This window comes from Homo sapiens, chromosome 3, assembly GCF_000001405.40.
Source record: "Homo sapiens chromosome 3, GRCh38.p14 Primary Assembly".
Taxonomy (NCBI): domain Eukaryota; kingdom Metazoa; phylum Chordata; class Mammalia; order Primates; family Hominidae; genus Homo; species Homo sapiens.
In genome coordinates this window covers 187,465,744-187,493,477 of record NC_000003.12, presented here as the reverse complement: position 1 = coordinate 187,493,477, position 27,734 = coordinate 187,465,744, and the positions used below count along the sequence as shown (strand labels likewise).

General features: G+C 40.7%; 1 long non-coding RNA gene across 1 annotated transcript in view, besides 1 other annotated feature; it reads left to right on the top strand.

Moving 5' to 3' along the window:
* The window catches only part of LOC124909471 (uncharacterized), a 30,393-nt gene extending 14,399 nt beyond the window's left edge, over nt 1-15,994 (top strand). Inside the window, exon 2 of the long non-coding RNA XR_007096210.1 lies at nt 15,060-15,994. This is a non-coding gene — a long non-coding RNA (uncharacterized LOC124909471). The remainder of the gene's footprint in view (nt 1-15,059) is intronic.
* Nucleotides 26,385-27,225: an enhancer, noted in NCBI's record as "OCT4-NANOG-H3K27ac hESC enhancer chr3:187184041-187184881 (GRCh37/hg19 assembly coordinates)". NCBI's record gives its function as "activates a minimal SCP1, AML or CMV promoter by ChIP-STARR-seq in naive and primed H9 embryonic stem cells {active_cell/tissue: H9 hESC(naive and primed)}" and the evidence as "EXISTENCE:reporter gene assay evidence [ECO:0000049][PMID:30033119]".

Below are 27,734 nucleotides of genomic sequence, written 5' to 3'. Positions count from 1 at the left end.
ATAATCCCAGCTTTCTTGAGAGCTTTGTTTACTTTTTTATTATTCTTTTTTGTTTGTCTCTGTCTAATTGGGTTAATTTGAAAGGCTTGTCTCTGAGCTCTGAAGCTCTTTCTTCGACTTGTTCTAGCCTATTGTTGAAATTTTCCATTGCATTTTGTATTTCCCTAAATGTTTCTTTCATTTCCAGAAGTTGTGATTGTTTTTCTAATGATATCTATTTTTCTTCAATATTATGCATCCGTATCCTGTATTTTTTTTAATTTCTTTAAGTTGGTTTTCACCTTTCTCTGATATCTCGTTGAGTAGCTTAATATTTAACCTTCTGAATTCTTTATATGGCAATTCAGAGGTTTCTTCCTGGTTTAAATCCATTGCTAGAGAGCTAGTGTGATCTTTTGGGGGTGTTATAGAACTATGTTTTTCATGTTACCAGAACTACTTTTCTGGTTCCTTCTCATTTGTGTAGACAATTTCTTCAAATTGTTCTTGAATTCTTTTTTGATTGGACTGTGTTTTGTAGATTTAATTTTCTTTTCTTTTTTGTGTTTTCCTCTTAAGAATCAGACTTCAATGTTTATTATAGTCTAATTTGATTCTTGGTGCTTGTAGGGGTAAAGACTCTGTATGAGTTCCTTAGTTATAGAGAGTCTTTGTGTGCTGGTTTTCCCCAATGTTGGTTGTAGTAGTTATATTCTTGGTGTGTGGGTGAGTTCGACGTCTCCTCTCAAGTTGAAATGGCAGGGATCTCTTGAAACTTATCTCGTTCCCTAGTGGTGTACAATTTATTTGTTTATTTATTTTTTCCCAGTGTTTTATTTACTGATTTGATGATTCAGGCTTCAGGTCAATAGGAGAGGTAAGCCTGGTTAGGCTCCAGGTGTGGCTAAGGCAGGTGGGAAGATATAATACCCAGTGGTGGGCCAAGGTCCAAGCCTTGATGAGTAACTGGGGGCACTCTCAATTAGACGAGCTGAGGTTTTACCTTGGTGAAGAGTGGGAGCTACCTCAGCTCTCTTGCCAGGTCAGCAGGAAAGCTCTTCACCTCAAAGCCTCACTCCTGTCCTAGTGTTGCAGCTCTTCAGATGAGACAGGCACCTCTTTTAATCTATAGGAATGTTGAGTTCCAAGTAGGAAGGAATTGTGACACTGCCGCTTGTATAGGCCTGAATCTGGGGGGGTGCTCCTCCTGTGGGGCTCCACTCAGCCTGGATTGTTCCAGAAATGCTGCCTACAGGTGCCTCCACACTGCATTCTTGTGGGGGAAGCCCCAGCTGCATTTGTGGTGGAGTGGCAGTAGGGAAGAAGGACCCCTTCTCCAAGGCCCTTCACAATCACAGAGGCAGCCTGCCTGTTGGTGTAGAGGTGCAGACTTTCCCTACTGTGCCCAGCACTGCAATTGTATCTCTTCTGTGAGAAACTACCCACCAGTGGAAGGATGTGGAATTCAAGGCCTGCTGTTCAGATTCTTTTGTCCCATGGGGTGATCCCTTGATGTGGTGCTCTCCCCCTTCCTCTAGAGATGGGGCTCCCTGAGAGTTGGACTGCAGTGATTGTTATTGCTTTTCTGAGACTAGTCACCCAGTGGGGCTATGGGGCTCCAGACTGCTGCTGATGAATGTCCACAAAGAGTTCAGTGATGTGATCATTTTTCAGCTCTCCCAGCTGTGGATACCAGCACCTGCTCTGGAGGAGGCATCAGAGGAGTGATGAGATTCTTTGGTTGTAGAGAGGTTTAGTGTGCTGGCTTTCTCAAATGCTGGTTATGCTAGCAGTGAAGTTGGCATGTGGACAAACTCAGGACCTCTAGTTAACTAGAATGCTGCAGGTGGTGGAATTAACTATTGTTTTCTCTTTCCTGAGAGCAGGATCATTCTGTCATGAGTTGCTATAATGGCCTGAGTTGTTTGGCCTCCAGCCAGGAGGTGGTTCTTTCAAGGCAGCACCAGTTGTGGTATTAGCAGTGGGATTTAAGCTTGCCCTAATTTGGCCAGGGGAGGTATTCTGACTTCTCAGGCACTCGGCAGGGCCATAAAGCTCCCAAGAGCTATAGTTTTTTGTTCAGCTACTAGGGTGGATAGAGAAAAGCCATCGGGTGGGGACAGGGTTAGGTGGGTCTGAGCTCAGACTCTCCTTGGGCAGGGCTTGCTGTGGCCACTGTGGAGCATGGGGGTGGTTCTCAGGCCAACGGTGTTATGTTCCAGAGGGAAGTATGGCTGCCTCTGCTGTGTCATATGGGTCACCAGGGAAGTGAGGGATAGCAGGTAATGATAGGCCTCACTCAACTCCCATGCAGTTGTCGAGGCCAGTCTCACTCCCACAGTGCCCCACTAACAGTGCTGAGTTGGAATCCAGGCAGCCTGCAAGCAGAAATCAGACCTGCCCCAGGCTATAAGCTTCCCCATCGAGAAAGCAAGCGCGGCTTTCGTGACACACTCCACCCCATCTGCTCATAATGGCTGTGGCTCCTGCACTTGGATCTGCAGCAGTCCCTGTTCACCCCCAAGATTCTGCTCAAGGAAGTTCATGCCCACTAGAAATTATCACAAAATTCACTTGGAAGCTTCTTTCATCTGGGCCCCTCCCTAATTCTACCAGCTGCCTTCCCTGAGGGCCTCTGTGAGATAGTCAGATATAGTCAGGGACGGCTTCCCTGGGCTTGAGCTGGAGACTGGGAATGCCTACAAAGCTCTTCCTGCTGCTGCTTCTACTTTTAAATTTTGCATGGCTCCCTAAATCTTTTCAAGCTTTAAGTAAGGTTGAATCCTTCTCCTCTGATCTAGATTTGCAGATTCCCTAGTGAGGAAGTGTGTTCAGAGGCAGGGCTCCCCCCTCACACTTTGGGGACTCACAGTTTTTTGCCTGTCTCATGGAGTTTGCAGTGGTGTGCTGCTGCTTGTTTCAAAGGCTTCGTTTATTCTTTTGGTTTTCCTGGTGCATTCCTGTGGTGATTCTTGAAATAAAAGTTCACAGTGTGAATCTCCACAAACTGTTCTATCCATCCAAGTGAAAGATGCATGTTAGCCCTGCCTCCTATCCACCATCTTCCAGCTTTTATTTTCTTACCAGTAACCTCTGAAGAGCAAGCTTTCAAAATTTTGATAAATTCAATTTATTAATTTTTAAATCTTATACTTTACACTTTTAGTGTCCTATTTAAGAAAATATGGGATAACTTAAGGTCACTAAGATTTTTCCCTCTGTTTTCTTCCAAATGTCTTATAGTTTTATTTCTTGCAATCAGGTATATATTCCATGTAAGTTAATTTTTGTATATGGTGTGTTATAAGATTTGAGGTTAATTTCTTTTTTTTTTTTACACTTGGCTATCAAATTGTGCCAGAACAATATGTTGAAAAGACTTCCATTTTCCCCATTTAATTTCCTTTACACTTTTGTCAAAAACCAGTTGACCATGTATCTATATGTGGATTTACTTCTGTACTCCATCTTGTTCCATTAGTAGGTTTCTCTAACTTTATGCCTATCCCACATTTTCTTGATTATTGTAGATTTATAATAAGTTCTGAAATCATGTAGCACAAGTTCTGAAATTTTGTTCTTGCTTTTCAAATTTGCTTTGGCTATTTTAAGAGTTTTAAATTATCTTCCAGATTTTGGGATCAGCTTGACAATGTACAGAAGTATGAATAATACTTACAGTTGGCTGGGCATGGTGGCTCATGCCTGTAATCCCAGCACTTTGGGAGGCCAAGGTGGGCAGATCACTTGAGGTCAGGAGTTAAAGACCAGCCTGGGTAACATGGTGAAACCCTGTTTCAAAAATTACTAAAAATTCAAAAATTACCCAGGTGGTGGTACACACCTGTAATCCCAGCTACTAGGGTGACTGAGGCACAAGAACTGCTTGAACCCAGGAGACAGAGGTTGCAGTGAGCCAAGATTGCACCACTGCACTCCAGCCTGGGTGACAAAGCGAGACTCTGTCTCAAAACAAAAACAAAAACAAAAAAATGCCTCCTGGAATTTAATTGGAATTGCCTCGAATCTATAGGTTAGTTTAGGAAGAATTAGTCTCTTAAAAATATTTAGTCTTCCTATTCCTGTGTTTTGTATATCTTCATTTCTTTAGATATTTTTAAATATGTCTCAATAATGTTTTATAGTTTTCAGTGTATAAGCCTTGCACATTATTTGTCAAATTTATCCTTCATTACTTAATATTTTTGATGTTATTGGAAAAGTTGTTTTTCAGTTATTTTTATAATTGTCTATTGCTTTTATGGAAATAAAATGATTTTTTATGTGTTTATCCTACAAACCTGATAAACTCACTTATTGGTCCTAAGTTGTTTTAGAGACTCCTTGGGATTTTTTCCAAAGACTTTATGCCATCTGCCAATAAAGACAGCTTATTTTCTTCTTATCCAATAAGTTTGGAAATTTTCTTATCTTATTGCAGTGGCTGGGACTTCCAATACAATGCTAAATAAAAGCTTTGCAAACAGATGTTTTTGCCTTTTTCCTCAATTGCAGAAGAAAGGAATTAATCCTGTCACTATCAAGTATGATGTTAGGTATAAGTTTTTCATAAATCTCTTTATAAGATTGAACAAGTTTTCTTCTATTTCTAGATTTCTTGGCACTTTTATCACAAATAGACATTGAATTTGGTCAATGCCTCTTCTGTCTCTAATGAGATGATCATAGTCTATTAATATAGAAAATTCCATTGATTGATTTTCAAATGTTAAAAGAAACATATTACTGAAATAAACCTCACTTAATCATAAAATGTTAACTTATTTTTGTATTGTTAAATTTAATTTGCTAAAATTTTGTTGAGAATTTTTGTGTGTAGGCTTAGGAGGAATGTTTATAGTTTCCTATTTATGCAATATTTTGGTCTGATTTAAGTATTAAGGGCAATCCTGGCCTCATAAAATGAGTCAGAAAGTACCCCTTCTGCTACCATTTTTGAAAGAGATTGTGGAGAATTAGTATCATTTCTTCCTCCAATTCTTTGTAGAATCAACCTGAGAAACCATCTGGGCTTGGTGATTTATTTTTTTGGAAGATTATTAATTATTTAATTTCCTTAATAAATATAGAGATATCCAGGTTATCTTTTGTGTGTGTGTGTGTGTGCACTTTAGTAGTTTGTGTCTTTCAAGGTATTTGTCTATTTCAAACAGAATGTAACATTTACTGGTATAAAGTTGCTGTATTAGTTCATTTTCATGCTGCTGATAAAGACATACCTGAAACTGTGAACAAAAAGAGGTTTCATTGGACTTACAGTTACACATGGCTGGGGAGGCCTCACAATCATAGTGGGAGGTGAAAGACACTTCTTACATGGTGGCAGCAAGAGAAAAATGAGGGAAAAGTAAAAGCGGAAACTCCTGATAAACCCATCAGATCTCGTGAGACTTATTCACTATCAGGAGAATAGCATGGGAAAGACTGGCTCCCATGATTCAATTACTTCCCACTGGGTCCGTCCTACAAGATGTGGGAATTCTGGGAAATACAATTCAAGTTGAAATTTGGATGGGGTCACAGCCAAAACATATCATTCCACACCTGGCCCCTCCCAAATCTCATGTCCTCACATTTTAAAACCAATCATGCCTTCCCAATAGTCCCCCAAAGTCCTAACTCATTTCAGCATTAACTCAAAAGTCCAGTCCATTGTCTCATCTGAAACAATACAAGTTCTTTCTGCCTACGAGCCTACAAAATCAAAAGCAAGCTAGTTACTTTCCAGATACAATGGAGGTAGAGATATTAATGTTAATCTTGGGGATTAACATTAGGCTCCTTGCTACTTATGCAAATTTCTCCAGCTGGCTTGAATTTCTCCCCAGAAAATGGTGTTTTCTTTTCTATCACATGGTCAGGTTGCAAATTTTCTGAACTTTTATGCTCTGTTTCCCTTTTAAAGCTGAATGCCTTTAACAGTACCCAAGTCACCTCTTGAATGCTTGCTGCTTAGAAATTTTTTCTGCCAGATACCCTAAATCATCTCTCTTGAGTTCAAAGTTCCACAAATCCCTAGGGCAGGGGCAAAATGCCGCCAGTCTCTTTGCTAAAACATCACAAGAGTCACCTTTGCTCCATTTCCCAGCAAGTTCCTCTTCACCTGAGACCACCTCAGCCTGGATCTTATTGTCCATATCGCTATCAACATTTTGGGCAAAGCCATTCAACAAGTCTCTAGGAAGTTCCAAACTTTCCCACATTTTCCTGTATTCTTCTGAGCCCTCCAAACTGTTGCAACCTCTGCATGTCACCCAGTTCCAAAGTTGCTTCCACATTTTCAGGTATCTTTTCAGCAACTCCCACTCTACTGGTACCAATTTACTGTATTAGTTCGTTTTCACGCTGCTGATGAAGACATACCTGAAACTTGGAACAAAAAGAGGTTTAATTGGACTTACAGTTCCACATGGCTGGGGAGGCCTCAGAATCATGGCAGGAGGCAAAAGGCACTTCTTACATGGCAGGAGAAAGAGAAAATGAGGAAGAAGCAAAAGCAGAAACCCCTGATAAACCCATCAGATCTCATGAGACTTATTCACTATCACCAGACTAGCATGGGAAAGATCAGCTCCCATGACTCAATTACCTCCCACTAGGTCCCTCCCACAAAACGTGGGAATTCTGGGAAATACGATGTGAGTTGGGATTTGGGAGGGGGCACAGCCAAACTGTATCAGTTACTCATAATATTTTTTATCATTTTAATGTATATAGAATTTATATTGATGCCCTTTCTTTTATTCTTTATTGGTCATTTCTGTATTCTTTTTCTTTTCCTAATTAGCGCGACTAGAGATATATCAATATTTTGTAATCTTCTCAAATCAGTCATTTTCTCTATGTATTTCTGTTATCTATTTCATTGACCCCTACTTTGATCTTTATCATTTGCTCTCTGAGGTTTATTTTGCTCTTTTTAAAACATTAAGGTGGGAAGGCAATTAGATCTCTGTGACTGTTATGGCCCAAAAGAAAAGTTTCTCTGCTCAAATTTGCCCTGAAATCATCTTCACTCCCACACTCTTTCCAATCATGGGGCATTTTATCAGTAATCATGCTCTAAGTTGAAAGCATTATAGATGTTGGAGTGTGGGCAGAGGCATTTTGCTTGGGTAGTGAGGGAGTTTACACAGATCTAAATGGAGAAACAGGGAGATAATTGGGAACCTTAACTTAGAGAAGGTGCAGAATAATGGTCATGTAAGCAATCCACCCCTACCTAAAGAACTACTTTATAGAATGTGTTAGACTTCTTCTGGTGGTCTTAAAGTATCACTGGATCAATGGGTACAAGCTACAGAGAGGCAAGTTTTACTCCAATCAGAATGTTCCAAATGGGAGTGATCTCTGTGGAGAGGGTGCGAGTTCCCAGTCTCCAGAAGAAGTGGATAGAACTCATATTTGAACATTTGTCAACCTTAAAATTTCCATTTCTGAAGTCAGAAAAGGTATATGTTGAGACTCCACTGTCAGCATATACCAATTGTGTGATCCTGAGCCAGTTACTTAACCTGAGTCCCAGCTTTCCCACATGTTTACTGTAAAGTAAACATGCCTACTTTACAGAATTGCAGAGATTAAATGAGATATTACATAAAAATATGGTTATCAGACTGTTTGATATATAGTATGCACTCCATAACTTTTATTTATTTATTATTAAATTAGTATCAGGATACACTGAAGTCATAATTATACAACTTTGGAACTGGGAAGAACCTTGTAGTTCATTTAGTCTAAACCTATTATTTCATGGCTGGGGAAGGTGAAGCAAAAGCAAATGGCTTCCCAAAAGCCCCATAGTTTGTCATTTGATAAAATGAGCTCTGGAGCCCAGGTATTGAGATTTATGGTCAACTGACTTTCTCCCCTCTCCACATCACATACTACATAGTGGACTCAGGAGGCAGGAAACTCAGTTCTAAATTCCAGCTTTTTTGTTGGTGAACTATGTGATTTTGGGCAAGTCCTTTCTCCTCTCCAGATCTCAGTCTCCTCATCCATAAAGGGAGACAAGCCAATATTTCCAAAGGCTTTCCTGAGTTCAGTGTCTTGTGTTTTAAAAAGGTAATTTAGGCTGATATGGAAGGAATTGGTCCATTTAAATTGCTTTTCTTGAGAAGGCACTTCCATTGCTTTGCCCACAGTGGAAAAAAAAAAAAAGAATGCTTTTGTTTCATATTTTATTTTTAAAAGTAACTCTATCATTCATTTCTAAGCTTGCTTGTTTACAGCTGCATTGAGTGAAATAGCATGCCAGGCTTAAGGCAAGCCAGCGCTTCCCGGGAATGCAGTGTAAGGCTGATACTTTGCTTTCCTTATCTCCGTTTAGGGTGCTGATAATACAGCCTGCAGCATGCCTGTCCCCATCCTTGTCATTGGCTTAGGGATTTGCAGAGACCACACTGTTCCTTCTGTTCCTGGGACCCTCGTCACCAAGTTAGAGATAATCACTCATTCCAGCTGTTCCCACTTTGATGGAAAGCTGGCTCCACTTGCCTGCCTAATGAATGCCTATGTTTACCCACAAAAGAGAAGCAATATTCTAAAAAGACATGTCAATTAACATGCTGCCTCCAAACTTTCTTTGGCTGCTATGAAAGAGATAAATCTTTCCGTTTGTCTTATAGTGTTCATTTTGCAAGTTTTTCTCTATTGTCACGTTAAGTAGATATGCAGCCTATCAGATATGTGTCCTCCCTCCAGGATGTAGTGGGCACCCACGCTGTGCCCAGTGCTCTGCCAAGACTCCGTGCCTGTCCTCAAGTAACTCAGAGAGCAGGAGTAAGGGGAAAATGAGGAATTCTTGGGCTTGCATTGGTATTTTAACGAATATAAATTAAGTGCTAAGAGAATACGGTGTAAGAGGGAGATGAACTCTGCCTGCAACTCAAGAAAGGCTGTCTGGAAATGGTGAAATTTACAACTTTAAAAGATTAGTAGAATATAAAAGAGCAAAAAGAAAAGTCTGCACCACTAGTTTCTTTAACAAATGTCATAACTGATATTAATTGAATGTCAACTTAGTGGCATGTTCTGTGCCAATGAGTTGTTGGAGGGCTTACTTTAGAGAGGGAAAAGATGAACCTTGTGGCCTAAGACAGCATCCTCCCTGAATGGAAGGCCGTTGCACACTTCATGTAGGGAAACTGAGGCAGTCTAGGAGAATTGGCCTATGTAAGGTTTTCTGGCAGTCCAGAGGAAGGAAGGAATAAAGGAGGAATATCTTGCCTTTCCAAGTGCCAGACTAGGGTTTGTTTGTTTGTTTGTTTCGAGACTGAGTCTCATTCTGTCACCCAGGCTGTAGTGAAGTGGCGTGATCTCGGCTCACTGCAACCTCTGCCTCCTGGGTTCAAGCGATACTCATGCCTCAGCCTCCTGAGTAGCTGGGATTACAGGCGCCCACCACCATGCCCGGCTAATTTTTGTATTTTTAGTAGAGATGGGGTTTCACCATGTTGGCCAGGCTGGTCTTGAACTCCTGACCTCAAGTGATCTGCCTGCTTCGGCCTCCCAAAGTGCCAGGACTATAGGCACAAGCCACCGCACCCGGCCCAGACCAGGGGTTTTCAACCTCAGCCCTGTTGACACTATCAGTAGATACTTCTTTGTCGTGGGGATTGTCCTGTGCGTTGTGGAATGTTTAGAAGCATCCCTGTGTTCTACCAACTAGATGCCAGTACAACCCCTCCCCAGTTGGAAAAACTGAAAATCTCTCCAGACATTGCTAAGTGTCCCTAAAGGGCAAAATCACCCATAGTTGAGAACCACTTTGAGATGCAGCTTGATACGCTGGAAAGATCATAAAACCAGGATCAGGGGACCAAGCCTTTCCTTTTTATAGTTTTTGACAATTCACTTCCAGTTTTGGGCCTCAGTTTCTCCACATTAAAAAGAAAGGAGTTGTACTAGACTTATTCACACATTCATTCATTCACTCAACCATTATTTTTAAGTTTCTGCTTTGTTCCAGACACTGTTCTAGGTGCTAGGGATATAGCAATGAACAAAGAAAGCAAGTCCCTGTCCTCAGATGCTTGCATTTTAATTGTGGAAGGCAGATAATAACCAAGTAGACATATACAAATGGAATACAATTTTTTTTCTTTTTTTTGAGATGGAGTGTCCCTCTGTCGCCCAGGCTGGAGTGCAATGGCACGATCTCAGCTCACTGCAACCTCCTCCTCCCCCTGAGTTCAAGCAATTCTCCTGCCTCAGCCTCCTGAGTAGCTGAGATTACAGGTGCCCGCTGCCACGCCAGGCTAATTTTTATATTTTTAGTAGAGACGGGGATTTCACCATGTTGGCCAAGCTGATCTCGAATCCCTGACTTCAAGTGATCCACCCGCCTTGGCCTCCCAAAGTGTTGGGATTACAGGCGTGAGCCACTGTGCCCAGCCACAAATGGAATACAATGTCAAGTAATGATGCATTCTGTGAAAAAAATAAAACAGGGCAATCTTACAGAAAGTGTCTGAGGGTAGAAGGTTACTATCAAAGAATTACTCTGAGATGACATTTGGACTGAAATGTAAGTGATGGAAGGAGTCATCCATGTGAAGCTCAAAGGAAAGGATAGTCCAGGCAGAGAACAGGACTTGCAAAGGCTCTGTGGTGGGAATGACCATGGCCTGTCAAGAGCGTGGTGAATAATGAGGAGAATGCTGAGAGATGAGGTCTGAGGAGTTGACAAGGGCCAGGTCCTACAGGGGCATGTAGATCTTATGTGGATTATTGGATTTTAATTCAATTGCAATGGATGTCACTGGAGTATTTTAAGCAGGTGAGTGATACAATCTAATTGTTTATTTTTATAAAGATCATTCTGGTTGCTTTGGGGATAATGGATTTTAAGGCAGCAAGAATGGGAGCAAGAAACCAAGGTATGAGAAGGTTGCAGTAGACCAGGAGAGAGATTTTGATAGCTTAGCCTAGACTTACAGTAAGGGAGATAGAATTGGATATAGTTAGAATGTCTTTTGGAGGTAGAATCCAATTAGATTTGCTGATGAATTGGATGTGAGGGCCAAGGGAAAGAGAGGTATCAAGGATGATGCCTAGGCTTTGAGGCCAAAGAATTGAGTGGATTGCTTTCCTTTTCCCATTTACTATCAGAGAAAAGCAGATTTAGGTATGAAAGGCAAGATAAGTGTAAAATAATTTCCAACGAGACTTTGGGAGGCTGAGGCAGGAGGATGACTTGAGGCCAGAGGTTAGAGAACAGCCTGAGCAACAGAGCAAAACCCCATCTTTACAAAAAAATAAAAATAAGCTGGGCATGGTGGTGCACACCTGTAGTCCCAGCTACCTGGGAGGTCAAGGCAGAAGAAATGCATTAGCCCAGGTGTTTGAGGCTGCACTGAGCTATGATAGCACCACTGCACTCCAGCCTGAGTGACAGAACACAACCCTGTCAAACAAACAAAAAAAAAATCCAACCAGAAAATTGAATTCTATAATTCAGTATTGTGTTTGTTTTGCTTTCTCCAGAGACCTCAGTCTACCCCCTCTCACTTCCACAACACACAGACACACACCACAGATGCACACACAAAAAAAGTGTAACAAAAACAAATACTTGGGACAATGTAATAGCAGGAAATTAGTGTGGTTTTAAAACTACTTCATGCAAGCAGAGATAGTCTTGTGTCTGACAAGCAATAAGGGACTTTGGAAAATCATATTAGATGAGATCTTGTCAATGGGAGGTTTTGCTATCAAGAAATCTAATGAGGCTTAAAGAAAACTGATAATTCATTAGCATTCTTGAACGTGCCCCCACTTTGCTGCGTGGTAATTATTGAGTAGCTACAGACCAGCTCAGAAATATAGTGACAAGATAGACTACTCCATCCATCAAATCCCAACAGCTATAATCATCTAATGAATGCTACACGAATCAGACAGTGGAAAATAATAATAATATCTTTGCTCCCTGCTGAGCTGTTCAGCACAATTTCCAGTCTACAGTGAATAGACTTACTGGAAAGTTTGGATCCCTCTAGGGTGCAAGGCCACAGCTGTCTAACATCTATAGGACAATGGTACTCCTCAGACCCAAGGCAGAAAGGGGATGGAAGAGGGGAGATAATCTTTCAGCTGAAGAGAAAGCAATCCTTCAGCTTCATCATAGTAGGAAAGCAAGAAATCAGGAGCAGTAATGGCTCTTATGTGAGGCTTGGGGTTTTCAGGATTCCAAAACAAGAATGGGCTTCTCTTTATGGATGGCAAAAGATAGATATTCCTAAAAGCCTTAGATCCATTCCATCTAGCACTGGATGGAGAGACTGCATTGAATGGTGCCAAGCCCAGTGTCTGGAACTCCGAAGACATAAGAGCAAGCCCTAGCTCAAACTCTTCTGACGTAACTGTAGACAAATGACTTCTATTGTCTAAAGCCTTATTTTGTATCAGTAACATGGAGATACTAAAATGTACTCTAAGTTGTCATCATGGAACTGCATATACTTTAGAAATATTCAAGTTTTAGAAAATGTAAAAGGTGTTTATGATGGCTACTTTTTAAATCAGAACAACCTTTGTAAAGAATGTACCACTGATTGACAACAAATCCTTGATACAGAAAATTCTCATGCCCATTCCCCCAATATATTTTTTTCCTTATCAGCTGTGCATCAAAGCCCAACAGTTACATCAGAAAAATATACAGATCTTGGGGTTAGAAACTACATTTCTGTGACCTTGGATAAGTCCTTATTACATACAAATATGTTACCTAGCAAGGGCAACACATTGACCTGATTGATGCCATTTTTACTTTGGCAGAGGTGAGTTTCTCAGAGCATCTAACAGGTCACCCAAAAAAGGAGGATGGAAAGAGACATCAAGTCAGAAGAATGGCACTCACATTCTCTCTCTGCTGGAGATTAACCACATGCCCTTCTATGATGATACAACTGCAGATGAGCAGAGACCTTTAAAATATGAGCTCCAGTCCCCACCTTCCTGGCCTTGTTGTGGTATAGGCATTACGGCCCTGCTCCCCTTCTTTCCTGAGTCAATCCTAGAGATCTGGCACATCCTTCAGGGGAGATCTAGAATAATTCACCTTCTTTGACATGCTATTCACTATGCCTAGGTGAACTCTTTTCCAGCATGCTCCCTCACTCAAGCTACAATCTTTACTTGCTTCTAGCTATGCTTGCCCAGTCAATATAAACACACTTTGATACCATAATTTCCTGCTGAGTCTGTAATGTTTATATATACTAGCCACTGTGACTAGGCCTCCACACTCTGGGTCTGGACATTCTCCTCCTCTTGGGTTACTAGATCCTTTTTCTCCTGCCCACCCTATTTCCCTCCAGTTGGTCCTGGGGTCCTGCTCAAACAAGCTGTTCATCTGGACTGTGTCACCATGTTGTTGCAAGTACCTGAGTCAACATCACCATTGCCTGGGTGCTCCTGATTCATGCCCCACAACTCAGGTGGAACTTTGTATTCTGGCTCTACCAGCTCATATGAGTTGAGTTCTCACATTCATCTAGACCATGCAGTTTGAACTGACAGCCACCACATTCAGTCAGCTTGCAAGTCAGGTAAACTCCCAGAGTGGCCTGATTCTGTCCCTTCCACCATCAGTTTCTCTCAAGGTCCTTGGCATGGGATCTCAAAAGAGTCTACCCATAATCTGGCTTTGAGAGAGTGATTCTGACTCTTTTGCAACTTTTTTCTGGAACTCTACTCTGAAAATTGCCATGCAAACAAATCATTCTCATTGCTTTTAAGATACGCCTCTTCTATGATGAAGATGAAATATCTTTGCTTTCTCAGCCCACATCTCCCTTTTGTAATTTTCTCATAAGCATGGGAGAATCTGAATTTGAAGGGCAATTCAATGTATTACCATTTCTGAGACATCCTGTCATCATTGCTCAATAAGTTAGTATTATATTTAAAATAGTTAATGAAATGCTAATTTGCTCTTGGTCAATCCTTTTATTGGATGGAGCTGAGCAACTTCAGCAAGTTTAACACTGCTAAATATATTCTTAAAAGTATAGATAATAACAGCATCATAGGCTGAGATTGCAAAGAACTATAGTGCCATCTGAAATAATGTCTGAGATGAACAGCACTCAAATGGGAGATTGCATTAGTCTGTTCTTGTGTTGCTATAAAGAACTACTTGAGACTGGGTAATTTATAATAAAAAGAGGTTTAATTGGCTCATGGGTCTGGAGGCTATACGAGAACCATGGCTGGGGAGGCCTCAGGAAACTTACAATCATGGCAGAAGGTGAAGGGGAAGTAGGCATGTCTTACATGGATGGAACAGGAGGAAGACAGCCAAGGGGGAGGTGCTACACTCTTCTGAAAACCAAATGTCATGAGAACTCACTCACTATCATGAGAATAGCATGGGGGAAATCCACCCCCATGATCCCATCACCTCCCAACAGACCCCTTCTCCAACATTGGAGATTATAATTCAATTGCAATTTGGGCAGGGAAACAAATCCAAACCATATCAGAGGTGTATCCAGTCAGTGTGGCAGAAAAGACTGCTTAAATCTTCTTGGGGAAGCTGGTGGTATTGCAGTTCAGATTTCAGATATTCCTCCTTTTGTGTGAAATACACTTCAAGAAAACCCATGGATCATTAAGCTTGTTGTAGTTAAAATTTTCTAATTGTTACACAGGGTTGCTATAATAGCTCAGGGCAGTATTCTATGTCTGGGTCACCACACAACTCTTGACCCTCTCTTGGCCTCAGTTCACTCATATATAAAATGAAGGTGATGGGCAATGTGATCTCTCAAGTCCTTCCCACTCTAAGATATATACATATTTTCTGGTTCATTGGCCATGGCAGCCTCAAAAATTCAGCTTAACTCCACATCAGAGTTAGCCTCTAAGTTAGATGTAGGCATGTCTTCAGATTACACCTGGTGGTAAGTTTCCCAAGTTTTAAACTCTTTATTTGCTCCTAAAAATTATTAGACTCACAATACATATAGGACACTAAGTGTTTTGCATGTTAGAGAGTTGTTGTGGAACTGAATATAATTTTCATTTAGCATCTGTTGCTTCAGGGCTCAGAGACTGATCCAGCTCACTCCTTCATAAGACAATCCTTCCAACTTGAAGACAGAGCTCCTTTCTCTCCAGAGAGAATCAGAAAGAGCAGAAGGCAAGGAAGACAAGCTCCATCCTAAACTCCAATCTGCACTGTTGGATTCATATTCTTCCAGAGCTGAAAAAGACTTGTGAAGTCCTATGATCTGTTGCACTGCCTCATTTTACAGTAAAGAAATTGAGGCTCAGAAAGAAATAAAATGGTTAGAACATTGGTGTTTAGAACACAGCTTGAATCAGACAGACCTGGGTTTGAGAACTGGCTCTGAAACTGTCTTTGCAAAAATTATATCAGTGAGAAAAATTATAACAGTAAGCTAAGCCAACTCTCCCCACCCCTTGCCTTTCCCTTAATTATTTCTGGGCTGCTGGGCTAACTTTGGAAGACATTTAGGCGACAGTGTAAATGATAATAGGCCTTGCCCAAAACTCAACTGCTTTTGTAAAGCTAATGGGAGGCCTCCATACTTGGGGGAGGAGAGGGGCCTGAGTCCTGCTAAGGCACAGACATAAATGAAGGCCAGCCATTATTCCGGAGGTTATAAGATATGTAACTTCCCCAATTATTCCTGAAAATAAAACCACTATTATAGATTGGCCTTTTGAGATATCTTTCCAGGTTTTTTTGTATGTCTGAAATCCATGGCTCCAACCCCCTCCTGTGCCCAGAAGCAAAGCAATTCAGAAGGACAACTTAGACTCCCTATGATTTTATCTCTACCCAGCCAATCAGCAGCAAGCACCTGTTACCTGGCCACCCCCACCTTTTCCCTCAAACTGCCTTTGAAAGTCGCCTAACCTATGAGCTTCTGATGAGATGATTTGAGTAGGAACTCCATCTCCCATGTGGTGTGGCTGGCCTTGTGCCTATTAAACTCTTTCTCTACCACAATGCCATGGTCTTTCTTTATGCATTGGGCAGGAAGAACCCCTCAAGCAGTTATAGCTCCATCAATTATTACCTCTATGACTGTGAAACCCCAAAATTTGAGAGAGGTCTCAGTTAATTTATAAAGTTTATTTTGCCAAGGTTGAAGATGTGCACCTGTAACACAGCCTCAGGAAGTCCTGACAACATGTGCCCAAGGTGGTCAGGGCACAGCTTGGTCTTACATATTTTAGGAAGACATGAGACATCAATCAATATATGTAAGAAGTACATTGATTCCCTCCAGAAAGATGAGGACAACCCGAAGCAGGGAGGGGGCTTCCAAGTCACAGGTAGGCAACAGGCAAATAATTGCATTATTTTGAGTTTCTGATAAGATTTCCCAAAGGAGGTAACCGGATATGCATTTATCTCAGTGAGCAGAGGGATGACTTTGAATACAAAGGGAGGCAGATTTGCCCTGAGCAGTTCCCAGCTTGACTTTTTCCATTAGCTTAGTAATTTCGTGGCCCCAAGATTTTCCTGTCACATTTCCCCTCTTTTCTTTTAAAAAATCTTTTGGAGAAAGCATTTTAGAAGGAAATTAGTTTCTGGTCTCAGGTTTCATCTGATCTCTCATGGCTAGGACAGTTTATTTCTAGATGGGTAGCTCCTGAAAGCTCATTTTTAGCAGATTGTGAAGTCTCATGTCCTATGAAGAGAAAGGAGGGGGAGGAAAGGAGAAAAACAACAACAAACAAAAGAAGGATCCTGGAAAATTGATATAGGTCACATTACTCTGAAGTCCATACATTAGTAGGCAGATATGAAAGTGGCTTATGTATGTAAATAGGTTGCTGTTATTTTCTTCTGAAGTTTAAGGTGTCTGGCTTCAGTTCACAGGGTTTTAAGAAAACACAGCTTTGTTTTCAGTGATTTCAAATTAGGACAAAAATGGGGGGAAAAGGAAAAGAAAGAAGAAAAAAATTAAAAATATTATTTTGAAAACTTGTAGCCAGGAAAAATTATAATTTAGCCCAAACTGTAGAAAATAATAAAAATTGAAAAACATTAGGAAAGACTCAAATCTAACAACAAGTGTACAATAGTTTTTGAAACATAATTTTTCTCTCTCCAGTTTTCCATTTTTACTAAAGACAAATCATGGTAGGACTGATTTGCTTTATTATATTTGGTCAGATTATTTGTATAAAGTGCAGCAAGAATAATTATTTTTCACATATGTTTTTAAAATTTGGCTTTGATGGAAGTTTTTACTATAGAAGGAATCTCAGATAAGACTTTTAAAGCTGAACCCAACCATGGACTTGTACCATCAAATACCTATGAGTTGGGTGAATTTCCCCTCCTCTTGAGGTTCCAAGATAAATTTGGGGCTCCTGGGCCTTTCTGAAAATGACATTCTTTACTTACCATAGGTCAGAAACCCTGTAGAGGGACTGTGTAAACTATGAGGCCAGTTTTCCCAAGGACTTTTTTGGTTCCATGAGTCAAGTTTGATTCCTTAAAGGACAACACACCATTCCAGTCAAAGCCTTGGTAAAATAACAAATTTCTCCAATTGTGTCCTGTTACAAATGAAAACAAATTCTTGTTGCACTTATGCAAATAACTGGATTGCCATAAATTAAGAATACTCACAAATAGTTTCCAAATTCTGGAGAAATCAGGTAGAGAGAAACAAATGTGCTCCAAATTTTGTTCATAAGAGTATACTAAATTGCCAAAACTGTCAATAGCTCAGAAGAAAAGTTTCAAGACTCTGAAAAACAAAACAAATGATCAGCAACATTTTAAGCAAAAAGTCAAAAAGATTAGTTCAGTCCATGCAGTTAATTCCTGTTCTGGTTGATATTCATGAACATTTTAGCACTCTATGCATGAGTCCTGAAAGTTTTTCCTTTATTCTGATGTCACAGTCTCCAAAGTTATCAGAAACCTGCATTCGAGAGCACCTGTTATAGTTTTATAGATGATTATAAAACCACCTTCCAAAGAGGACCAAAACAACACAACCATTGTCCAAGGATGACAAAAAGTTTTAGGGAACCCATAGTCAAAGACAAAATTGACAAGGAAATTTGTTACCTCTGTGGCAGACAATAATTTTAACAATTATCATTATTACTGGTAAAGTCATATCAGAATTACAGGAGTGTCCCAAAATTTTAGAATACATATCAACAACGTATTTATACAAATTAACAAAGAAAACCAAACACCATTTTATATTTGATAATGCTTCCTATATAATTTTTGTACTACTAAATGTCAAAATTATGTCATTTTTGGACTTTAGGGAAACTAATATCTTAGAGGATTAATTAAGTCAGAAAAAGACATAATTTATAATTTGATTTTGAAAAGTTTGTCAAATATCAAAGGTTTAAAACACTTGATATCACAAAATAGGATCACAAGTCATTGTAAAATAAGTCATTCTTTTAACCAAAGTAATAACTCAAAGATTTCAAAAACAGGCAAAACCTTTATTCTTTTAGAGAGGAGATTTAATTTCCCAAACAATAAGCCCTAATAAAAACAGTATGAAGCCAATTAAATTTGTTTTTCAAAATGTATAAACAATCTATAACATTTAAATCTTTACCATAAGATATAACTTCCAGAAGCCTTTTATAACCTTTATAACCATTATTAAGGAATCAGTTAATGCCTCAAGAAAACCTTGTTAATCTGACACAGGGGCCCATATGCTGGTCTTGCATCAGTGTGCCTTTGACATTAATGATTAATTTATAGAGAAACTGAACTTATTTTTATCTTTTAAAGTTGGCCCTTACAATCTCACATGCCCACCTCTACTGAAATAGTCCCTGGGCCTTGAAGAGCTGAATAGATTTAATTTCTGGCCCTGGGTCTCAGTAATGCAGTTAATTTTATGTGCCATCTATTACAGGGCTGTCAGTGTTTAAGATTTAGCCGGACTTGGTGGCCGTTTTAGATCCAGGAGTCAAAGTCCTGTAACTCAATGTCACAAGGACTTTAAAAGCACATACAGGAAGATACATGAATATAATAAACTTAATTTTTTAAAAAAATTAAATTTCAGTTTTTTCCTGGGAAGCAAAACAAAGTTAATAATAATGGCATACTAATTATTTTGATAAAACATAAAATCCATTACACAAGTTACCAAAAGGCAAAAGAAAATATCTTCCACAGTGCACAGAATATTATGTTGGAAGAAAACATTTCCCTTAGACCTTTAAGAAAATGTACCTTTTAAAAGGGGAGAGAAACAGCAAGATGCAACAAAAGTTAAACTTTGGGTTAAAAAAAGAATTAAAATCTCTTATAATTTATTAAGAGTGAATCAACCTCTTAAGAAAATGTCATTGTTCTAATCAATAACTTAGTGTATAAGTGGTTTTTTTTGCATCAAGCCAAATCTCTAGAAAGAGCATTATAATTTCCCTTTAATTATAAACAACTTGATCATATAAAAGTTTTGGGTTTTTTAAAAATTTTATTTAAGAAATACTTATTGTGACTTACACATACCATTCATGACATGCTTGGACTTTCTGGTTTGTCCTGAACATCTCTATTTCTTAAACAACCAGACATTTTATTTTAGGTCTAAATTTGCCATACAAGATTATTTCTCATATAAAATTATTTCTCTTTCTTTTTTTGAGATGGAGTCTTGCTCTGTCACCAGGCTGGAGTGCAATGGCACAATCTCGGCTCACTGCAACCTCCACCTCCCAGGTTCAAGCGATTCCCCTGCCTCTGCCTCCCAAGTAGCTTGGACTACAGGCGCGTGCCACCACACCTGCCTAATTTTTTGTGTTTTAGTAGAAACAAGGTTTCACCATGTTGGCCAGGATGGTCTCGATCTCCTACCTTGTGATCCACCCACCTCAGCCTCCCAAAGTGCTGGGATTACAGGCGTGAGTCACTGCACCTGGCCAAAATTATTTCTCTTTAAGCTTTCTTACCACAAAAAAAAACCCTCTTTTTTTTTTATAACTTTCTTTACGTCCCTCTTATTTCCTGGTTCCTTTACCTTGTTTTATACATAACCTTTAAATAAGCTTTGAATTAGACAAACTTGTTCGCCTTTTCTTAAAAAGGACAGAGGACACACTATTTTTTTTAGCAAGAATGTTTTCCAACAACATATATTTATTGGAAAATACCCAAATAATGAAATATCTATTATTTAATTTAATATAACTTTATATTCTAAATTATGAAAAGTTAGTCTACAAGTGTTTATCCCATTACGTTTACCTAATTGTTATTTTAATTGTTTACCTAGATTATTTATGAAAACTACGATAGTCATAATTTAAAGTTATGAAACTGCCATTGCAAAATTATAACTGAGGCAGTGAAAAAGATTTGGCCTAGCTGAATCTGTCTTGCTTTTAACCTCCAAGCTGTCCTTGTTCATTCCTGGGCATAGGCCAAACTAAATTTAGGAGGAACTTAGTTTATAGTTTAGCTTTGAAACAAAGATGGTAACAGTTGTTTCCCAAAACAAACCTCCTTACTGCCTGTGGACTAGACTGTCTAAAGCCATGGGATGAGAAGTTATGGTAATCTTACTAAATTTAAGATGCAGCTATTTTCATTAAACCTGTATCAGTGTCTTATTTCTTAAAAATTACATAAGCAAAAATCATTCTGTTTGGGGTTGGGTTTATAGTTTTGTTACCCCATGCCACATTTTGACACCTTGTAGTATTTGGAAGGGATAAGTATGAAATTGCTTGATCAATAAATGCAAACAAAAATGTATGCTGGCAATTCTTAAGACATTTCTAACATTACCAATAATTTTAAAGCTAGCTTATTTATTAAAGATTTTACTTAAGTTACATAAACTTGAAAAAGCATTTAACTAGTCTTTTCTTTTTTTCCTGATAAACCATTCAAGTCAAGTGCTTTTATTTTCTTAAGCCAATTAATTAGAACTCTTTCTATATTTTCAGTAGTGACGCATGTATACAACACATAAATACATAGATGTATTAGACATGCCAATAGAAGCGTATCTTACAGATTTCTAAGACTTCCTTTTTTTTCCTATCTTAGACTTGCAAACTCTTGATAACCTGTTTCCTTACTCTGGCAGTTGTCAGCTAAATAGCGCTAAATCTGTATATTGAAGGAAGTAACTCTTAGATGAAAAATCAGATGGCAAAATTTCCATCTCAAGATTCACAGAGAAAAAGTCTGGTGGTGCTAGAAGAAGACTAAGATTGATGCCAAATCAAATATAAAATTATAGAAATTTTTCAAAGAATTGTATAAGGAGACCAATCTTATTTTGGTAGAAACTACCTTTAAAAAAAAAAAACAAAACTGGGTCTCTGAGCTGTGGGCAGAGCCCACACTGAATCCTGGGTCTCCAAAAAAGGAGAATAATTATGAGGCTAGACCATGTGATGTTTTTACAGTGCATTTAAAAAGTTTTTCTTTAAACAAAGACATTTCTAAGTGTCTAAACTACACTCTGTCAGCCCTCTGAGCCCAAGCTAAGCCATATCCCCTGTGACCTGCATGTACACATCCAGATGGGCAGTTCCTGCCTTAACTGCTGACATTCTACCACAAAAGAAGTGAAAATGGCCTGTTCCTGCCTTAACTGATGACACTGTCTTGTGAAATTCCTTCTCCTGGCTCATCCTGGCTCAAAAGCTCCCCCACTGAGTACCTTGTGACCCCCACTCTGCCCGCCAGAGAACAACCCCCCCTTTGACTATAATTTTCCTTTACCTACCCAAATCTTATAAAATGGCCCCACCCCTGTCTCCCTTCACTGACTCTTTTCGGACTCAGCCCACCTGCACCCAGGTGAAATAAACAGCTTTACTGCTCACACAAAGCCTGTTTGGTGGTCTCTTCACACAGACGTGCATGAAATTTGGTGCCATGACTCGGATCGGGGGACCTCCCTTGGGAGATCAATCCCCTGTCCTCCTGCTCTTTGCTCCATGAGAAAGATCCACCTATGACCTCAGGTCCTCAGACCAACCAGCCCAAGAAACATCTCATCAATTTCAAATCTGGTAAGCGGCCTCTTTTTACTCTCTTCTCCAACCTCTCTCACTGTCCCTCAACCACTTTCTCCTTTCCACTCTTCAATCTCTCCCTTCTTTTAATTTCAATTCCTTTCATTTTCTGGTAGAGACAAAGGAGACACGTTTTATCCGTGGACCCAAAACCCCAGCGCCGGTCACGGACTAGGGAAGGCAGCCTTCCCTTGGTGTTTAATCATTGCAGGGACACTGCTCTGATTATTCACCCAGGTTTCAGAGGTGTCAGACCACGCAGGGATGCCTGCCTTGGTCCTTCACCCTTAGCGGCAAGTCCTGCTTTTCTGGGGTAGGGGCAAGTACCCCAACCCCTTCTCTCCATGTCTGTACCCCTTCTCTGCCTTTCTGGGGGACAAGAAACCCCCAACCCCTTCTCCTTCACTTTTAGTGGCAAGTCCCACTTTTCTAGAGGAGGGGCAAGTACCCCAACCTCGTATCTCTGTGCCCCAATCCCTTATTTCCATGCCCCAACCTCTTACATCTTTGTACCCCAATCCCTTATTTCTGTGCACTGACCTCTTATCTCTGTGCCCCAATCCCTTATTTCCATGCCCTGACCTTGTATCTCTGTGCCCCAACCCCTTTCCCACTTTACTGGAGGGTAAGAACCCCCAAACCCCTTCCCTCCATGTCTCTCTCTTTTCTCTGGGCTTGCCTCCTTCACTATGGGCAAACTTCCACCCTCCATTCCTCCTTCTTCTCCCTTAGCTTGTGTTCTTAAGAACTTAAAACCTCTTCAACTCTCACCTGACCTAAAATCTAAGCATCTTATTTTCTTCTGCAATGCCGCTTGACCCCAATACAAACTTGACAGTAGTTCCAAATAGCCAGAAAATGGCACTTTCAATTTTTCCATCCTACAAGATCTAAATAATTCTTGTCATAAAATGGGCAAATGATCTGAGGTGCCTGATGTCCAGGTGTTCTTTTACACATCAGTCCCTCTCTAGTCTCTGTTCCCAATGCAATTCCTACCAAATCCTCCTTCTTTCCCTCCCACCTGTCCCCTTAGTCCCAACCCCAAGCGTCGCTGAGTCTTTCCAGTCTTCCTTTTCTACAGACCCATCTGATCTTTCCCCTCCTCCTCAGGCTGCTTGTCACCAGGCCAAGCTAAGTCCCAATTCTTCCTCAGCCCCTGTTCCTCCACCCTATAATCCTTTTATCACCTCCCCTCCTCACACCCCGTCCGGCTTACAGTTTCGTTCCTTGACTAGCCCTCACCTGCCCAGCAATTTACTCTTAAAAAGGTGGCTGAAGCTAAAGGCATAGTCAAGGTTAATGCTCCTTTTTCTTTATCAGACCTCTCCCAAATCAGTGAGCGTTTAGGCTCTTTCATCAAATATGAAAAACCCAGCCCAGTTCATGACTCATTTGGCAGCAACCCTGAGATACTTTACAGCCCTAGACCCTGAAATGTCAAAAGGCCATCTTATTCTCAAAATACATTTTATTACCCAATCTGCTCCCGACATTAAATAAAACTCCAAAAATTAAATTCCAGCCCTCAAACCCCACAACAGGATTTAATTAACCTCGCCTTCAAGGTGTACAATAATAGAAAAGAGTTGCAATTCCTTGCCTCCACTGTGAGACAAACCCCAGCCACACCTCCAGCACACAAGAACTTCCAAACGCCTGAACCGCAGTGGCCAGGCGTTCCTCCAGAACCTCCTCCCCCAGGAGCTTGCTACAAGTGCCAGAAATCTGGCCACCAGGGCAAGGAATGCCTGCAGCCCAGGATTCCTCCTAAGCTGTGTCCCATCTGTGCCGGACCCCACTGGAAATCAGACTGTTCAACTCACCTGGCAGCCACTCCCAGAGCTCCTGGAACTCTGGCCCAAGGCTCTCTGACTGCTTCCCAGATCTTCTTGGCTTAGCAGCTGAAGACTGACACTGCCCGATCGCCTCGGAAGCCCCCTAGACCATCACGGACGCTGAGCTTCAGGTAACTCTCACAGTGGAGGGTAAGTCTGTCCCCTTCTTAATCAATACCAAGGCTACTCACTCCACATTACCTTATTTTCAAGGGCCTGTTTCCTTTGCCTCCATAACTGTTGTGGGTATTGACAGACAGGCTTCTAAACTTCTTAAAACTCCCCAACTCTGGTGCCAATTTAGACAATACTCTTTTAAGCACTCCTTTTAGTTATCCCCACCTGCCCAGTTCCCTTATTAGGCCGAGACACTTCAACTAAATTATCTGCTTCCCTGACTATTCCTGGATTACAGCTACATCTCATTGCTGCCCTTCTTCCCAATCCAAAGCCTCCTTTGCATCCTCCTCTTGTATTCCCCCACCTTAACCCACAAGTATAAGATACGTCTACTCCCTCCTTGGCGACCGATCATGCACCCCTTACCATCTCATTAAAACCTAATCACCCTTACTCTGCTCAATGCCAATATCCCATCCCACAGCATGCTTTGAAAGGATTAAAGCCTGTTATCACTTGCCTGCTACAGCATGGCCTTTTAAAGCCTGTAAACTCTCCTTACAATTCCCCCATTTTACCTGTCCAAAAACCAGACAAGTCTTACAGATTAGTTCAGGATCTGAGCCTTATCAACCAAATTGTTTTGCCTATCCATCCTGTGGTGCCCAACCCGTACACTCTTTTGTCCTCAATACCTTCCTCCACAACTCACTATTCCGTGCTTGATCTTAAAGATGCTTTTTTCACTATTCCCCTGCACCCCTCATACCAGCCTCTCTTTGCTTTCACTTGGACTGACCCTGACACCCATTAGGCTCAGCAAGTCACCCGGGCTGTACTGCCGCAAGGCTTCACAGACAGCCCCCATTACTTCAGTCAAGCCCAAATTTCATCCTCATCTGTTACCTATCTCGGCATAATTCTCATAAAAACACACGTGCTTTCCCTGCTGATCATGTCCGATTAATCTCCCAAACCTCAATCCCTTACAAAACAACAACTCCTTTCCTTCCTAGGCATGGTTAGTGCGGTCAGAATTCTTACACAAGAGCCAGGACCGCACCCTGTAGCCTTTCTGTCCAAACAACTTGACCTTACTGTTTTAGCCTAGCCCTCATGTCTGCGTGCAGCTGCCACTGCCGCCCTAATACTTTTAGAGGTCCTCAAAATCACAAACGATGCTCAACTTACTCTCTACATTTCTCATAACTTCCAAAATCTATTTTCTTCCTCATACCTGATGCATATACTTTCTGCTCCCTGGCTCCTTCAGCTGTACTCACTCTTTGTTAAGTCCCACAATTACCATTGTTCCTGGCCCAGACTCCAATCCGGCCTCCCACATTATTCCTGATACCACACCTGACCCCCATGACTGTATCTCTCTGATCCACCTGACATTCACCCCATTTCCCCATATTTCCTTCTTTCCTGTTCCTCACCCTGATCACGCTTGATTTATTGATGGCAGTTCCACCAGGTCTAATCGCCACACACCAGCAAAGGCAGGCTATGCTATGGTACAAGTCACTAGCCCGCCTCTTAGAACCTCTCATTTTCTTTCCATCGTGGAAATGTATCCTCAAGGAAATAACTTCTCAGTGTTCCATCTGCTATTCTACTACTCCTCAGGGATTATTCAAGCCCCCTCCCTTCCCTACACATCAAGCTCGAGGTTTTGCCCCCACCCAGGACTGGCAAATTAGCTTTACTCAACATGCCCTGAGTCAAATAACTAAAATACCTCTTAGTCTAGGTAGACACTTTCACTGGATAGGTAGAGGCCTTTCCTACAGGGTCTGAGAAGGCCACTGCAGTCATTTCTTCCCTTCTGTCAGACATGATTCCTCAGTTTAGCCTTCTCACCTCTATACAGTCTGATAACAGACCAGCCTTTATTAGTCAAATCAGCCAAGCAGTTTTTCAGGCTCTTAGTATTCAGTGAAACTTTTATATCCCTTACGGTCCTCCGTCTTCAGGAAAAGTAGAATGGACTAAAGGTCTTTTAAAAACACACCTCACCAAGCTCAGCCACCAACTTAAAAAGGACTGGACAATACTTTTACCACTTTCCCTTCTCAGAAGTCAGACCTGTCCTCAGAATGCTACAAAGTACAGCCCATTTGAGCTCCTGTATAGACGATCCTTTTTATTAGGCCCCAGTCTCATTCCAGACACCAGACCAACTTAGACTGTGCCCCAGAAAAACTTGTCATCCCTACTATCTTCTCTCTAGTCATACTCCTATTCACCGTTCTCAACTACTCATACATGCCCTGCTCTTGTTTACACTGCCGGTTTACACTGTTTCTCCAAGCCATCACAGCTGATATCACCTGGTGCTATCCTCAAACTACCACTCTTAACTATTGAAGTAAATAAATAATCTTTGCTGGCAGGACTATGCTGAATCTCCTCAGGCACTCTCTAATCAGATGTCCCGAGTCGTCCCAATATTTAGACCTTTTATACCTGTTTTTCTCCTTATTCCATTTAGTTTTCAATTCATACAAAACTGTATCCAGGCCATCACCAATAATTCTAAATGACAAATGTTTCTTCTAACAACCCCACAATATCACCTCTTACCACAAAATCTTCCTTCAGCTTAATCTCTCCCATTCTAAGTTCCCACGCCGCCCCTAATCCCGCTCGAAGCAGCCCTGAGAAACATCACCCATTATCTCTCCATACCATCCCCCAAAATTTTCGCCACCTCAACACTTTACCACTATTTCATTTTATTTTTCTTATTAATATAAGAAGACAGGAATGTCAGGCCTCTGAGCCCAAGCTAAGCCATCATATCCCCTGTGACCTGCAGGTACACATCCAGATGGCCGGTTCCTGCCTTAACTGCTGACATTCCACCACAAAAGAAGTGAAAATGGCCTGTTCCTGCCTTAACTGATGACAGATTGTCTTGTGAAATTCCTTCTCCTGGCTCATCCTGGCTCAAAAGCTCCCCCACTGAGTACCTTGTGACCCCCACTCTGCCCACCAGAGAACAATCCCCTTTCGACTGTAATTTTCCTTTACCTACTGAAATCCTATAAAATAGCCCCACCCCTATCTCCCTTCGCTGACTCTCTTTTCGGGCTCAGCCCGCCTGCACCCAGGTGAAATAAACAGCTTTATTGCTCACACAAAGCCTGTTTGGTGGTCTCTTCACACCGACGCGCATGAAACACTCTTCCTTAAATTATTTCTCTTTAATTTAGAGAAAAAAAAAAGCTGGGTTTGACTATATGGTAGGCATGTGTTTGGTGGGTCATTACATTTTGTCATATAAATAAAGGCTTACAAACACAAAAGTAGCCTCTGTTGCAATAACTGTTTTAGTCAAAAAATCAGGTGAAAACCAAATTCAGTCAACAGAGAAGAAAAAGAAACTTTTGCTCAAAATAAGACAAGGTCCTAAGAGAGAAAAACAAAAACATGAAGACATGAAGGCCTTTTAAATACAAACATGCACATACACACACAAACACACACACATCTTGGATGTTAACCTTTTAATAAAGGTGACTTTTAACCATTGAGCTCCTTTAAAATATACTTTTAAACCTTTAAATGCTTTACTCCTAAGTTTCTCATTTGTAAAATGGTGATATTGAAACTGGCTTTGCAAAAATTATATCAGTTAGAAAATTATAACAATAAGATGAAATGTCACCCCCCACCTTCTTGCCATTCCCTTAATTATTCCTGGGCTGTTGGGCTGAGCTAACTTTGGAAGAC